Genomic DNA, 16009 nt, shown 5'->3' with positions numbered 1-16009 from the left:
GAAACCTCGTCTCTACTAAAAATTTAAAAAATTAGCCGGGCATGGTGGCAGCCACCTGTAATCCCAGCTACTCGGGAGGCTGAGTCAGGAGAATCACTTGAACCTGGGAGGCGGACATGGCAGTGAGCCGAGATCGCACCGCTGCACTTTAGCCCAGGCAACAGTGTGAGACTCCATCTCAAAGAAAAAAAAAAAAAAACTATTGATGAACTGTCCTTAAGCAATAACCCACCCAATTCCTAGAGAACTCACAAGCTGCACCTTAGCCCAGTCCCACTGCCTTGTGATTTCCTTCTCATCAGCTATATTGTACTAGGCAACAGGCCAAGGTTACTAGCTTTTTTTTTTTTTTTTTTTACTGTTATTTTAGTGCTCATAATCTTTGAAAATCTCTTCTGGCCCTCAGAAAGCAGGGTAACACAAGGACATTGGTGGCTAACATTTGACTGTTGGGTTGGGCAGATTATATTTCTTTTTTTTTTTTTTTTTTGAGACAGAGTCTTGCTCTGTTGCCCAGGCTGGAGTGCAGTGGCGTGATCTGGGCTCACTGCAAGCTCCGCCTCCCAGGTTCATGCCATTCTCCTGCCTCAGCCTCCAGAATAGCTGGGACTACAGGCGCCCACCACCACATCTGGCTAATTTTTTGTATTTTTAGTAGAGATGGGGTTTCACCATGTTAGCCAGGATGGTCTCGATCTCCTGACCTCGTGATCCATCCGCCTCAGACTCCCAAAGCAGATTATATTTCTTTTCTGGTTTTCCCTGAAACAGGGTAGGCAGGTTCCTGTCCCTGAGCAAAAACATCAACATACGGAGAGTCACTCAGGAAACCAATTTGGGTGAAGTATCTGTTTGCATAACCCATTTTTCTTCCAGAGCTATAAAAGTAATTATTCATCCATCTCTGACAAAGGAGACCATTATCCTGTTCTTACTGTGATTTGGATCTAATTTAGATGTCAACTACATTTATGAGTCCTCAATTTATTATGCAATCAAGATAAACAGATGGTGTCTCATAATCAGTATGAGGGCAGAATGACTTGGAGAGCTTGGAGATGAGCCAATAAAAACCTGTTTGCAGTGCCATTGAGTGTGGCAGTGCCTCCCAGAAGAGGTACCTCATTCTCACAGAATTAGCAGACCATAAAAACAGCCCTAATATTTGGGAGAGACAAAGTGAGGGAAATCAGAGAGGCAGTCAATATTCAAGGAAGTGCAGGAGGAGAAAGGGGGGCTCTGAAAGGAAGACTGTGTAAATGGTGGGTGAGCAGGAGGGCTAAAAAGCCAGAAGGGCCTGCAGCCCCTGCCTAGCTACTGCAGCCCCAATAGCTGAAAATGCAGCCAGCATCATTGAACTCAGCTGCTTACCTCAACTTTGCAGAGAGGCAGCCTTGAGTAATTCAATCAGTACTGACTGGAGGGCTCCTGTGTGCAGGTCACCAACAGGCTCTGTGGGCAATACAAAGAAGGACACAATAGAGGTTCTGCCGCCAGGGGGGTTGTAACCCAAGGTACATGCATAATCATGGAACTCAATATCATACCGTGTGCCAGGAAACAGTGAGGGAGCCCAGCTCTTTTCTACTGGAAAGAGCCAGGAAACAGTGAGGGAGCCCAGCTCTTTTCTACTGGAAAGAGCCAGGAAACAGTGAGGGAGCCCAGCTCTTTTCTACTGGAAAGAGCTGTTTGCCTGTGGTCAAAAGAAAGCTCTTAGTTCCAGTGATCAATGTTGTTTTGTGTAATCTAGTCCCATACTTATACAAATATAGATTATAAAAACAAATCAATCTTTTTAGTTACATAGAATTACATAAAATTATGAGTTTCTAACTTTAAAAATCAGGATATAACCCACATAAAACTGAATATTATAAAGACCAAAGTCTTCCTACTCATTCTCTACTAAAAGACATATTTAATAACAAAATATATGCAAGATAAAGTTATACAGACTTTTAAGAGGTGATGGTTGTGTTGTTAATCTCAAATTCAAAAGTCTTCAGAACAAGTAAAAGAGGCAGGAGAGCTTCGGCTTAGTCAGGAAAATTCTGTGCCCACCATCCCACCTGCCCCCCATTTCCCCCACCAACACCCCAGCAAAGAACTAACAGAAAGAACAAAAAGGAATTTGAGGAGCTGCAAAGAATCCAAGATCCATTTTTTAGTGACAACCTGACAGCATTTTGTTTGAAAATGTTGTCAGTAAAAACAATCTATGGGCCAGGTATGGTGGCTCACATCTGTAATCCCAACACTTTAGGAGGCCGAGCCGGGCAGATCACCTGAGGTCAGGAGTTCAAGACCAGTCTGATCAACATGGCGAAACCTTGTCGCTACTAAAAATACAAAAATTAGCTGGGTGTGGTGGCACTTGCCTGTAATCACAGCTACTCTGGAGGCAGAGACAGGAGAATTGCTTGAACCCGAGAGATGGAGGTTGCAGTGAGCCGAGATCGCGCCACTGCACTCTAGCCTGGGTGACAGAGTGAGACTCCGTCTCAAAAAAATTATGCCAATGTCTTTCCTTATTTGATCTGTTTAAGTGCTTTCCTGTGTAAATGATCCTCTCAACATTACTGCTTGTAGGAAGCAGCCAATTCTGGGCCAGTTTGCTCAGAGCACATCACTATGAAAGTGAAAACTCAGTCTCATGTCTGCTGTAGCTCTTCCCCTAGATCTTCATAGAGCTGACCCCTGGTCATTCAGTTCTCTGCTCAGATGTCACTGGCTGGATGTGAAGAAAGGAGGAAGTGGCATCAGGGATTGACCCAGCTTTCATGTTTGGTGAATGGGATGGACAGTTGTTCCATCAAACACGTCAGGGAATTTAGGAGAAAGTGCAGGCTTGTGCGGAGAGAGATGTAGAGAGCAGAGAAGAGGGGAGGAGAGAGATGGTTAACACGGCTCATTTATGGACACATGGAGTCTGTGGAATACCAAAGTGAAGACGTCCAACACAGTTGAATAGATAGCTCTGGAACACAGGCAAGAAGTGTGGCAGACAGAGGAGAGAAAAGAACATCAGCATACAGATGAGAATAAAAAACCATAAAAGTACATGAGATTACTCTAAGAGAAGGGCAGAGAGTAAGAAGGAAAGAGAGCACAGAACCCTAGAGCACACCAATATTTAAGGGACACAGGAAATAAATTCAGTCACTGTAACTAAGAAAGAATGACCAGACTGGAAGGAGAATGAGAAGAAGAGTGTCAATGGAAGATTCATAATGTCAAATATGATAGAAGAGTCAAGTAAGATATGGGCTGAGAAACTGAAATATGTCCATTGAATTATGTCCTTTACTATTGTTGTTTCAGTAGCGTGACAAGAATGGAAACCAGTGGGTTGAGAGAGCTGGGTTGGGGGGAAGATGTGGGATGATATGTACACTTTTTTCTCCTAAACTGAGGAGAAAGAAAAGAGAGCAATAGCTGGAGAAAGGATGAAGAATCTAGGAAGGAATCTTTTTTAAATGGAAGAGTATGAGAAGCCTGGATGCAGGGGCGAGGAGAGGCTGAAATTACAGGTGAGAGAGCAAAAAGCTGACAGATTCAATGGCAAAAAATGATGGAATCCAGAGCATAGGGTTTGATGGGTGTTCAGTGGGAGGAGGGTACCCAAAACCAGAAGAAACGACTGATGGAGACGCAGGTAGGGTAAGAGAGGAGGAAGCTGAGAGAATTTTTCAATGCTCTCTGTGAAAACGGTTAGTGGGGATATCAGGGGAATGGAAGTCGAGGCTGAACAAGAATAAATGAGAGAATTGATTTAGAGAAGGGGTCAGAAAACTTCACGGTCTAAAAAAGAAAAGTGACTTGCTTGAGGTTGCATTGCTGGTTAATGCTTAAGAAGATAGCAGCAAGAGGAAGGGGCCTGGTTTGGTGAGAGGATCTAACATGTACTGAGGCTCTATTACATCCCAAGCACTCTTCTTGGTGCCTTATGTATGGTCACTTAGATCACACAATGCTATCCTATAAGGCATATACTTACTAGTATCCCCATTGTGTTGATGAAAAATGTGAGGCTAAATAACGTGTTCAAGGTCATAATGTCCATAAGCATTTAAGCTGTTATTCAAAGCCGTGTCTTTTGACTTCAGGCCTGGTAGCAATCCAGGGGCCCAAAGCCAGTGCCTTTTCCACTCTACCAAATTTTTTTTTCATTAGTACTTGTTAAGTGTCCTGCTGTCCCCAACAGCAATAAAAAATACTGAGTGCTAGACAGGCATGGTGGCTCACGTCTGTAATCCCAGCACTTTGGGAGGCTGAGGTGGGCAGATCACCTGAGGTAAGGAGTTTGAGACCAGCCTGGCCAACGTGGTGAAACCCTGTCTCTACTAAAAATAGAAAAAAATAGCCAGGTGTGGTGGCAAACACCTGTAATCCCAGCTACTCGGGAGGCTGAGGCATGAGAATTACTTGAACCCATGAGGCAGAGGTTTCAGTGAGCTGAGATTGCACACTGCACTCCAGCCTGGGTGACAAAGCAAGACTCTACCTTAAAAAAAAAAAAAATGAACTGAGTGCCTCAGTTCATTGACTTTTTCCACTGAGTTTCCTCAGCGGAAAAGTCAATTCAAGACTAAAATATTTAAAGTATAATATTTTTGTTCACTACAAAAATTATCACTACATAAACACACAAATCCTGCTGCCACTTTGGTTGCTAATGGGAACCAGTTGATGAAACCAGCAATATAAAAGGTAAGACACTATGTAAACTAAAGAGATCAAAGGTGGTTTCTAGCTCCTAGCTTCTTCTTTGCTGAAGTACACCATATTGATGGTGAGCATCTTATATTTATGATTTTTATGGAAACCCTCAGTAACCAAAAGACATTTTAAAATGCAAAGTACACACACACACACACACACACACACACACACGAAACTATCAATTGTGTTTATAGGTTAGCTGAGTAGTATCTACAGGAACACACAAAAAAACCCACAGAATGTCGTAACAATTAACACATATAACACTTACTATATGCCAGTTAATGTTGGGGTTTTATATATCATTTAACACTCCCCAGAGTCCTACTAAGTAGGACCTATTATTGTACAAATGAAGAAACAGAGGTACAAGATGATTAATTAACTTGCTCAGTGTCACATAACTAGTAAGCAGCAAAGCAAACCCCAGAGCCTGTGGAGCCTGACTCATACCAAATTAAAAGTGGCTGTGACTTTTCTCCCTCTGGAGAGTTTTGAGCTTTCATTTTAGAGCTGTTCTTCCTAAAGGGTAGAGGAATGAACCAGGTACCTCCCTTGAGAATTAATGTTCTGGAATGCATAAAGTGTGAGAAAGAAAAATTGTCACCTTAGCAGAACATGGTCGGATATGATGCCAGCTGGTCCTTCTGGAAAAATATTAGTGTTTCTTATAAAACACCTGATAGATTTGAATAAGCAGATCAAGGAAGAGTCTGGTTACTTTTTGCCAAGAGAAAATTTTTTGTTTACTTAAAAGCTCCTACCTTTTAGGCAAGTTTTAAATACAACTTTGAAACATGCAATTAATGTGTCTGGGAAGTGTATTTTTGTCTAAAATGAACAGCTTAAGTACTATTCCATGACTCTGCAGTGTAAAGGGTACTAAATTGGAACACATTATGAATAGCCTGTTAGGGCAATTTTCTGACATGGAATCTTCTGATGGCCTGGCCCCTAGCCAATTCTCCCTGGGGACTGGTCTTTAAAGATTATTGCTGCCTCAAAGTGGCAGTCCTTGTCAAGAAGTAGAGATAACACTACTGCATGTAACTACCTCTACATCCTTAAGACCAAGGGGAAAATGGTCTCAATACACAGTATGTAATGGGTTATTACTGAATAGTTTTAAATTTTCTGGCTAAGGCTGACACTCCCTTTCTAATCCATTCTATTTCACTTCCAATAACCTCAAATGCCCTCTGCTCTTGTCAACATCCTGCTCCAACGTCTTCAGGCGGCACCTAATAGAACATTGTCCAGGTTCTTTAATTAACATGGAAGGTCCTCCCCACAGTGACTCACTTTTCATTATTCTCTCTGACTCTGCTCTAGTCACAAATGTTTGCCTTTTCACACTTGCTGTCCTCTGTGACACAGCTACAATCCCAGAGTCTGCCTCTATTCTTCTGCCCTCTGTTTGCTGTTTCTGAAATATCCTCCCAATTTATTTACATCCTAGTCATCCTTCAAGGCCCACTTAAGCCCCAGTCCCAAGAAGCCTTTGAAACTGCTCCACTTACTGTGATATCTACCTGAAATTTCATTCAAAGTACTTATAAACTGTCTTTGTTATTTCTATATACTTGTTCCTTCTACCTACTTAGATTATAAATTATTTCATGGCAGGGACTGAGTCTTTAAGTTCAGAATCTAGTACAGGTACTTGGCACAATGTACGTATTCAATAATTGCTGATGGTGACTCCCAAATCTGGTATAAAAACACCGGTAATTATTACCAATTTTCTCAAAAGGTTTAACCTTTGTTTAAACAAAGTTCGACAAAGATCACACAGTACTTTTTAAAAAGGATGTCAAGAACAAGGTAATGTAGCTTTTAGTTGGGCCTCAGCATAAACAGACATCTGAATTTAGAAGCCTGTTTCTCCTATGGAAGATACGATCATGTGTAGACAGCTATTTGCAGCATGAAAAGTCACAGAGGCTCTCTGAAGAGGGGAAAATAGCAAAGCTGGCAGACACTTTTTGTGCTGCCTTTCTTTCTATAAATTACAGGTGGGTTGGTTTAATACCTGAAAACCCAAATAATGTGTTAAGTCTTCTGCATCAATTATACTTCAAAATGACGCCCAATACGAAGAATGGAATAATAGATGTTGCATGTTTGTTACCAATTATAATGTCTGTATTATGAAAGATGTAAGTGTGTCATTGTCATTTTCTTGTAACATGATATGGTATAAAGTGTAGCAGAATAATCTTCACCAAAAATTGACTGAATCATCTGATTATGTTTCAGATATTTATCACCATCATTCACCAAGATTTTAGTTTCTGCATACTAATCAGAAGGAGAGAATTTCTCCCACAAACAGGCAACAAAACCTCAAATAACTAGGCATAAACAGATGTTGTCTCTCGTTATTACATTAAGTTTGGGTAAAGTGTGAACTTCTTAGAATTTGCAAGGAGAATTCAAGTTTCCCAGAATGAGACTGGGGTCATTAATGATACTGCGAAAACTTAAAAACAGCTCACCATGGAACAAATTCCATCTATTCCTCAACAGAGCTTGAAAAACAAAATACAACTTCCTAATAAATATGGCAGTTTTCAGTCTTTATGCTGTGAACCAGTGAAGTATGCACATGATGCAGAAAATAATAAAGGCACATTGTACCAAGTTACAAACTCTTGAATTTGTATGATATGGTTTGTGTCCCCACCCAAATCTCAAGTCAAATTGTCATTCTCAGTGTTGGAGGAGGGGCCTGGTAGGAGGTGATTAGATCACGGGGGTGGACTTTCTCCTTGCTGTTCTCTTATAGTAGTTCTCACAAGACCTGGTTGTTTAAAAGTGTGTAGCACTTCTTCCTTCACTTGCTTTCTCCTGATCCCACCATATAAGACAGGTTTGCTTCCCCTTCATCTTCCACCATGATTGTTAAGTTTCCTGAGGCCTCCTTAGCCATGCTTCCTATACAACTTGCAGAACTGTGAGTCAATTAAACCTCTTTTCTTTATAAATTACCCAGTCTCAGGTAGTTCTTTCTAGCATTGCGAGAACAGACCAATACATATATTTTTAGAATAGATTATGTAGGGCAAACTGAACCAAGATTTTAAGTTAATATTAGATACTATAACATACTTATTTAAAAACAGATCAAAATCAAACCCAAAAACAAACCCAAAACATACTATAGCTCTTGGACTAATTCTTATTTGCAAATTATCTTGCTTTCGTTATTCATATTTTGTCCCAAAGGCCCTAATGCTAAATAAAATAAAATAAATTATGGAGCTTTATTTTAATCAAATTCAATAACATTAACAGCACTGTTCACATTAACATAACTGTCTAAATCAATCACTTTACCACATATATGATTAGAACCAAAAGAAAGCTGAAGGCCGGGCATAGTGGCTCATGCCTGTAATCCCAGCACTTTGGGAGGCTGAGGCAGGTGGATCACTTGAGGTCAGGACTTTGAGACCAGCTTGGCCAAAAAGGTGAAACCCTGTCTCTACTAAAAATACAAAAAAATTAGCCGGATGTGGTGGCACATGCCTGTAGTCCCAGCTACTCAGGAGGCTGAGGCAAGAGGATCACTTGAGCCTGGGAGGTGGAGGTTGAAGTCAGATGAGATTATGCCAGTGCACTCCAGCCTGAGCAACAGAGTCAGACTCCATCTCAAAAAAAAAAAAAAAAAAAAAAAAGGCTGAAAATTGCCCAACCACTTTTATTAAAGGTTTTCAGTTTTAAGCTGCATGGAATACTAAGAGGTCTGATTCCATGACCTGGAGAGGTAAGCAAGCAAACAGAGCACTGGGCTAGTTCTCAGGAAGGCAGAGTTATTCAGATTCTGCCTGTAAGTGTGTCATCTAAAACATCCACTTACATTCTCAAAAACTGTATTTTCATTAAAAGAAAGGAAATGGACTAGATGAGCTTTAAGGCCCCTTTTAATACCTAACACTGAGACTCAATCTTCAGAAAAAAATTTAGAATGCATTGCTTTAAACCTTTCCTAAACATTTATACTTTGTCTCTCTCATAAAGCAATATTAGAAAGTATGACTATCTAGGAAATAAATTGTATCCATCACATTAGTTTCAGTAAGGGCTTGGCACAACAAATGCAGTCCCATTACAATACTCCTAGCCAAACAAGGGCCGTTATGCACTATACAACCCTGAGGGAAAGAAAACTGAAGGGGGCCAGCCCCTCCACACCTCTGGGTATTCCTCGTCAGGTGGAACGAGAGACTGAGAAAAGGAATAAGACACAGAGACAAAGTATAGAGAAAGAACAGTGGTCCCAGGGGACCGGCGCTCAGCATATGGAGGACCTGCACAGGCCCCGGTCTCTGAGTTCCTTCAGCATTTATTGATTACTATTTTCACTATCTCGGCTAGGGGAATGCGGCAGGAGAACAGGGTGATAATGGGGAGAAGGTCAGCAGGAAAACATGTGAGCAAAGGAATCTGTGTCACAAATAAGTTTAAGGGAAGGTACTGTGCCCGGATGTGCACGTAGGCCAGATTTTTGCTTCTCTCCACCCAAACATCTCAGTGTAGCAAAGAGTAACAGAGCAGCATTGCTGCCAGCATATCTCGCCTCCAGCCACAGGGCGGTTTTCTCCTACCTCAGAATAGGAGGAATTTACGATCGGGTTTTACACCGAGACATTCCATTCCCAGGGACATGCAGGAGATGGAGGCCTTCCTCTTATCTCAACCGCAAGAGACCTTCCTCTTTTACTAATCCTCCTCAGCACAGACCCTTTACGGGTGACAGGCTGGGGAGGACGGCTGGGTCTTTCCCTTCCCACAAGGCCATATCTCAGGCTGTGTCAGTTGGGGGAAACCTTGGACAATACCCAGGCTTTCTTGGGCAGAGGTCCCTGCGGCTTTCCGCAGTTCGTTATGCCCCTGGTTAATCGAGAATGGAGAATGGCGATGACTTTTACCAAGCATACAGCCTGTAAACATATTGTTAACAAGGCACACCCTGCACAGCCCTAGATCCCTTAAACCTTGATTCCATACAGCACATGTTTCTGTGAGCACAGGGTTGGGGCTAAAGTTATAGATTAACAGCATCTCAAGGCAAAACAATTTTTCTTAGTACAGATCAAAATGGAGTTTCTTATGTCTTCCTTTTCTACATAGACACAGTAACAGTCTGATCTTTCTTTTCCCTACAGAAAATGTATGTGCCTTGTTTCAAAACAATGAGGAAATGAGGGCCTGCCACTGTGGCTCACACCTGTAATCCAGGCACTTTGGGAGGCTGAGGTGGGCAGATCACTTCAGGTCAGGAGTTCAAGACCAGCCTGGCCAACATGGTGAAACCCCATCTCTACTAAATATACAAAAGTTAGCCGGGTGTGGTGGCAGATGCCTGTAATCCCGGCTACTCACATGAGAATCGCTTGAGCCTGGGAAGTGGAGGCTGCAGTGAGCCAAGGTTGCACCACTGCATTCCAGCCTGGGCAACAGAGCGAGACTCTATCTCAAAAAAGGAATGAGGAAATGAAGTCGGTGTTAGGAATCACCCTTACAATTTTAAGGAAATTGAACACTCGAACAAAGGATTTTTAATGAAGCAATTTTACTTTTGCGCAGAGGGGTGTCTCTTCGGCCAGTTGCCATGAGAGCGCACTTGAACAAAGGGGCACGAGGGCCTTTATTTTTGACGCAAGTCTTGCCTTTGTATTCTTTTTTTATTGGTAGTGGTCGGGTCGTACAATTTAAACTAATTTTGGTTGGCTAAACATTCGATTTTTTTTAGATAGGGTGAGCATGTAAAAGAAAAAGTGGAGGGAAAGGGGAAAGGGTGTTTGTAATGAGCTAGAAAGTTAGTCTTTTTTTTAATAAGGAAAGGAATGTAAGTTGGTATTGATAAAACGTGGTATTGTGGCGTGCCTGGGCATTTAACAAAGGCAAAGAGGAAAAAAGGCGAAAAAGGAGAAAAATTGGGGGGGGGTACTATGAATTAAAGAATAAAAGATTGATCAGATTATTTGAAGAGAAATCTTATCATATCCCACATCAGTTTATCAATACACCCAGTCTTTTTAAACAATTTCAACAAAAAGTTAATTTGTTTGAAATGGTTAGTTGACTCCTAACTCATCATTCCAATCACATTACCAACAGATTGAAAGATATTCTGCAACTTAATCGCATTACCAACAGACTGAAAGATATTCTGCAATTAATTCCAATAAAATGTTATTTTTTAAACAATGAATCACTTTAGAATTCAGGAAATATCTATGTCAATACTGTTTTCTAATTTCCTATTATTTATTCTTTCCTGCTGTTGGGGCTCAGAAAATGATACCCCAAAGTGAAGGCCTCAGAAGCAGCCTCAGAAGCAAAGTTTCTAACCAACCTGTCTTACCCTCCTGTCTATCTGTCATACCCTCATTCTCTCCTGAAGCAAGTCATAGAAAATAGAATTCCTCTTCCCCAAGGCTGATTACAGAAACCAGAACCTCTAAGCTTCCCCAACTTTTTTTTTTTTTTTGAGACGGAGTCTAGCTTTGTTGCCCAGGCTGGAGTACAGTGGCGCGATCTCGGGTCACTGCAACCTCTGCCTCCCAGGTTCACACAATTCTCCTGCCTTAGCCTCCTGAGTAGCTGAGATTACAGGTGCACGCCACCACGCCTGGCTAATTTTTGTATTTTTAGTAGAGATGGGGTATCACCATGTTGGTCAGGCTGGTCTCAAACTCCTGAGCTCGTGATCCACCCGCCTTGGCCTCCCAAAGTGCTAGGATTACAGGCGTGAGCCACTGTGCCCAACCGCTTCCCCTACTTTTTGTCTAAGAATTGGCCATAAAGAAATTCTCTCACCTGCCGTGTTCAATAGCAGCTCATAAGACCTCCATTCCAGAAAGGATCCCGTACTGTATCCTGAAAGGAGAAATGCTACAATCGAAAGAAAGTTCAAGAATCTGAACAGACAGGTCTTGCTAGGTTTTCTATTACCATTAGCTCATATCCTTTGTTGTCCAATCACATTTCTACACGACTGTCCCTGTTTCATCAAACCTAAGCATATAATGAGACAGAGTCACCTGTATCTTTGGGTCTTCACTCTGAAGGCTCCTGCATCATGTAAAACTTTGATCAATAGGAGGCTGAGGAAGGCAGATCATGAGGTCAGGAGATCAAGACCATCCTGGCCAACGTGGTGAAACCCCATCTCTACTAAAATACAACAAATTAGCCAGGTGTGGTGGCACACACCTGTAGTCCCAGGTACTTGAGAGGCTGAGGCAGGAGAATTGCTTGAACCCGGAAGGCGGAGGTTGTAGTGAGACAAGATCACGCTACTCCACTCCAGCCTGGCGACAGAGCAAGACTCTGTCTCAAAAACAAACAAACAAAACAAACCTTGATCAAATACAGTACATTTATAATGTTTTTCTCTTGTTTTTGTTTTGTTTTTATCTTTTCTTTTTTGAGACAGGGTCTCACTCTATGGCCTAGGCTGAGTGCAGTGGCACAATCTTGGCTCACTGCAGCCTTGACCTCCCAGGCTCAAGTGATCTGCTCACCTCAGCCTCCTGAGTAGCTGGGACTACAGAGGCACACCATCACACCCAGCAAATTTTTGTATTTTCTGTAGAGACGGGGTTTTGCCATGTTGTCCAGGCTAGTAATTTTCTCTTGTTAACCTGTCTTTTGTTATAGGAGTGTTAGCTGTAACGCTTATGATGGGAAAGAAAGGGATCATCCCCTTTCCACCCCTACACTGCCTCTGTTTATGTTTTCTCCCTTAAACTGACAGGGCTGGTACACTTTTGTCGAAAGATGGGACTTTTTTCTCCTAAATTCAACCGTCATTCAAACTGGGTCAGACTAATGACAATTCTACCAAGTAGTGTATACCAGTAGCCTCAATAAAGAGATTTTGGGGGACAAATGTGCATCTTCCACACAGTTGTAGCCATAGAGTGCATATCTAACTTCCTTAAATTATCTATGTGGATCTGTCATCCTATAATTTGTCTAAATCCTTATTTTTTAATATTATGAATAGAGTCCAGCTTATATATAAAAATGTATTTCCTTTCTATGTCTTAAAAATTACTTGCTGTTGAGCGATACTATATTCCTAAAATATAGCGGAATCAAAATTCCTAGTTTACAGTCCTCTACCTCTATTACTTACTAGCTATTTGACCTTTATACCAATCAATCATCAGAGATGATTGAACCAGAGCAACTCCATCTTGAATAGGGGCTAGGTAAGATAAGGCTGAGACCTACTGGGCTACATTCCCAGACAGTTAGGCATTCTAAGTCACAGGATGAGATAGGAGGTTAGGCATTCTAAGTCATAGGATGACATGGGAGATTGGCACAAGGTACAGGTCATAAAGACCTTGCTGATAAAACAGGTTGCAGTAAAGAAGCCAGCTAAAACCCACCAAAACCAACATGGCGACGAGAGTGACCTCTGGTCATCCTCACTGCTACACTCCCACCAGCACCATGACATTTTACAAATGCCATGGCAACATCAGGAAGTTACCCTATATGGTCTAAAAAGGGGAGGCATGAATAATCCACCCTTTGTTTAGCATACAATCAAGAAATAACCATAAAAATAGGCAACCAGCAGCCCTTGGGGGTATTCTGCCTATAGAGTAGCCATTCTTTTATTCCTTTACTTTTCTAATAAGCTTGCCTTCACTGTACTCTATGGATTCGTCTAGAATTACTTCTTGCAGGAGATCCAAGAACCCTCTCTTGGGGTCTGGATTGGGAGCCCTAATAGTAATTGGTTTAAAAGGTGCTTATACTTACAGCTTCAAGGGCAAGGTCTGACTCTTTTTGCACAGTACACAGCAAGGAATTTTTAAAGCAATAGCTAACATTTTTCATGCCAAGCATGGGGCTAACATGCTACATATATTTCCTCTTTAACCATCATTCATGTTACCCCCCATTTTACAAGTGAAAAAAGTGACACTTTGAGAAATCAAATCCAAGGTCACGGCTAGTATGTTGCCAACTAGTTGCTCTCCGCTGATGGGGCAGTATATCTTATTCTCTGGAAATTAACAAGTTAGCTGATGTTAGTTTGAGGCATATACATTGCCTTCAGAAATGAATATGCTTTGGTCACTGCTGCCATTAGCCTTTGTGTTTACAGAATCAAGAGACTAATGACTTCCGGTTGACCTTCATATTGAAGGCAGTGGGGTTTATCCTATAGTTCCTGACTATCCCTACTTATCTTTTAAACCCTCCAGTTATTGCAGCATTTACATCTTTCTTCATTTACCATTATTGAATTTCTATTGAGCACACAGGCAGCATTCAAGGAGATACCAGGATCATCCAGACAAAATATGTGCCTTCAAGGAGCTGAAAGCTACCATATAATCAAAGTATGAAGTTCTCTCTTTTTTTTTTTTTTTTTTTTTTGACAGAATCTCTCTCTGTCACCCAGGCTGGAGTGCAGTGGTGCGATCTTGGCTCACTACAAGCTCCGATTCCCGGGTTCACGCCATTCTCCTGCCTCAGTCTCTCCAGTAGCTGGGACTACAGGTGCACGCCACCACACCCGGCTAATTTTTTGTATTTTTAGTAGAGACGGGGTTTCACTGTGTTAGCCAGTATGGTCTCGATCTCCTGACCTGGTGATCCGCCTGCCTCAGCCTCCCAAAGTGCTTGGATTACAGGCGTGAGCCACCGTGCCCAGCGAAGTATGAAGTTCTTAATCATCCATAGCATGAAATGTTTCTTACATGTATCTTAATTATGAGATGAACGATTTTCAAAATCCTGAGCCCATGACATTTAGTTCCTATCTGTATGACGAGCACTTGGTAGTCTGCCTTGTTTTGTGGTTATATCAAGAAACTCTAACTTAATCACAGATTTCTCCATGGTGCAGTTGTAGATGCTTTGCATCTGAGGACTAAGCTCTGATTTTTTTTATCATGCCCAAATTCCTATCTAAGGGGTCTGGGGAGTCATGCCCCACAAATAATAAGTTATCATCAAATGGGTTTTATTTAACTCTATATATCGTGACTTACTTTCCAACTTGACTCTGGCATAACATTATAAGACAAGGAAGAAAATAAAAATATTTTACCCCAAAACATATTTCTTTGCCATATCTTGAAATGGCCATACAAAGCTGTCCTTTGCGGGGAAAAATTCTCATCTGTAAAGAATCCCTATAACATAGCTAGATCTTTTTCTTCCAGGCCCCCCAATCCTAAAGAGATTAAAAGTCTAGCACCTTTCAAACATCTGAATAGGAAACATTTGTCATCTATTGTCTCTAAAGGCAGCCACTACAAGACTTCAAAAGAACCTTGGTCTCCACAATCTTTTATCTTAACTTGAACATTCCCTTTCTGTTGATCCCAGGTCTTCAGACAAACTCAACCAATTATCAACCAGAAAATGTTTAAATTTACCTATAGCCTGGAAGCCCCCTCCCCTCTCGCCTTTGAGTTGTCCCCCGTTTCTGGACCAAACCAATGTATTTCTTAAATGTATTTGATTGATGTCTCATGCCTCTCTAAAATGTATAAAACCAAGTGTGCCTGGACCACCTTGGGCACATGTTCTCAGGACCTCCTGAGGGCTGTGTCAGGGGCCACGGTCACTCACATTTGGTTCAGAATAAATCTCTTCAAATATCTTAGAGTTTGACTTTTTTCGTTGACCCACCAATTGGCCGGATTATTACTCATTATTTACTTGACAAACACATTAGGAGCCCTGTCCCCGGAAGCTCGCTGTCACGAGGGGCCTCTGACATCTCCTTCTTGAGAGAAAGGTCGCCTGGCCTGGGTGAGGTCGTAGTTCCCGCGACCCCGTGCTTGCAAGTACTGGCTGCCTCCTACTATAGTGTAAGCTCCAGGAAGGATCCCGCGGGGGACCTGACAGCTCACGGTCCTGGCCGACAACCGCCCTGGGAGCGGAATGGATGGAGCCCGCAGTCGTCCCGGCGCACTGGGCAAGCTCTGCTCCCACTGTGGCAGGCCAGATCTCCATTAGCAACCAGAGCAGCTCTCACCAACGCCTCACTGTCATTCTGATGCATGTATAAGTTAAACATTGGAGAAACTGGTGCCTTAGGAGAAAGGCTAGAATGTAAAGACAAGTCCATTAGGATCCCGCCTGAGCTTTTTCAACCCCTAGAGTTTAATTAAAATAATGGAGTTGTTCTTGCACACCTTGTACCAGGACCCACTTTAGATTATTTCCAAGGCTCTGAAGCAATTGTCTAGACACCTGACCCTATTACCGTTAAAGATTGGCTTGAGTGAAACACTTT

At 42.0% G+C, this 16009-nt stretch overlaps 1 protein-coding gene across 1 annotated transcript in view, besides 1 other annotated feature; it reads right to left on the bottom strand.

Moving 5' to 3' along the window:
* Nucleotides 1–11638, bottom strand: part of ACKR2 (atypical chemokine receptor 2) — a 57842-nt gene extending 46204 nt beyond the window's left edge. The window contains exons 1-2 of the mRNA NM_001296.5: nt 11551–11638; nt 1372–1452 (exon numbers count right to left, since the gene is read on the bottom strand). The gene's annotated coding sequence lies outside the window, so the exon portion shown is untranslated. The remainder of the gene's footprint in view (nt 1–1371; nt 1453–11550) is intronic.
* Nucleotides 14759–15556: an enhancer, noted in NCBI's record as "NANOG-H3K4me1 hESC enhancer chr3:42847019-42847816 (GRCh37/hg19 assembly coordinates)". NCBI's record gives its function as "activates a minimal SCP1, AML or CMV promoter by ChIP-STARR-seq in naive H9 embryonic stem cells {active_cell/tissue: H9 hESC(naive)}" and the evidence as "EXISTENCE:reporter gene assay evidence [ECO:0000049][PMID:30033119]".

Source organism: Homo sapiens, chromosome 3, assembly GCF_000001405.40.
Source record: "Homo sapiens chromosome 3, GRCh38.p14 Primary Assembly".
Classification (NCBI taxonomy): Eukaryota; Metazoa; Chordata; class Mammalia; order Primates; family Hominidae; genus Homo; species Homo sapiens.
The sequence above is the reverse complement of the archived record's forward strand: the minus strand, read 5'-3'. Positions and strand labels throughout refer to the sequence as shown.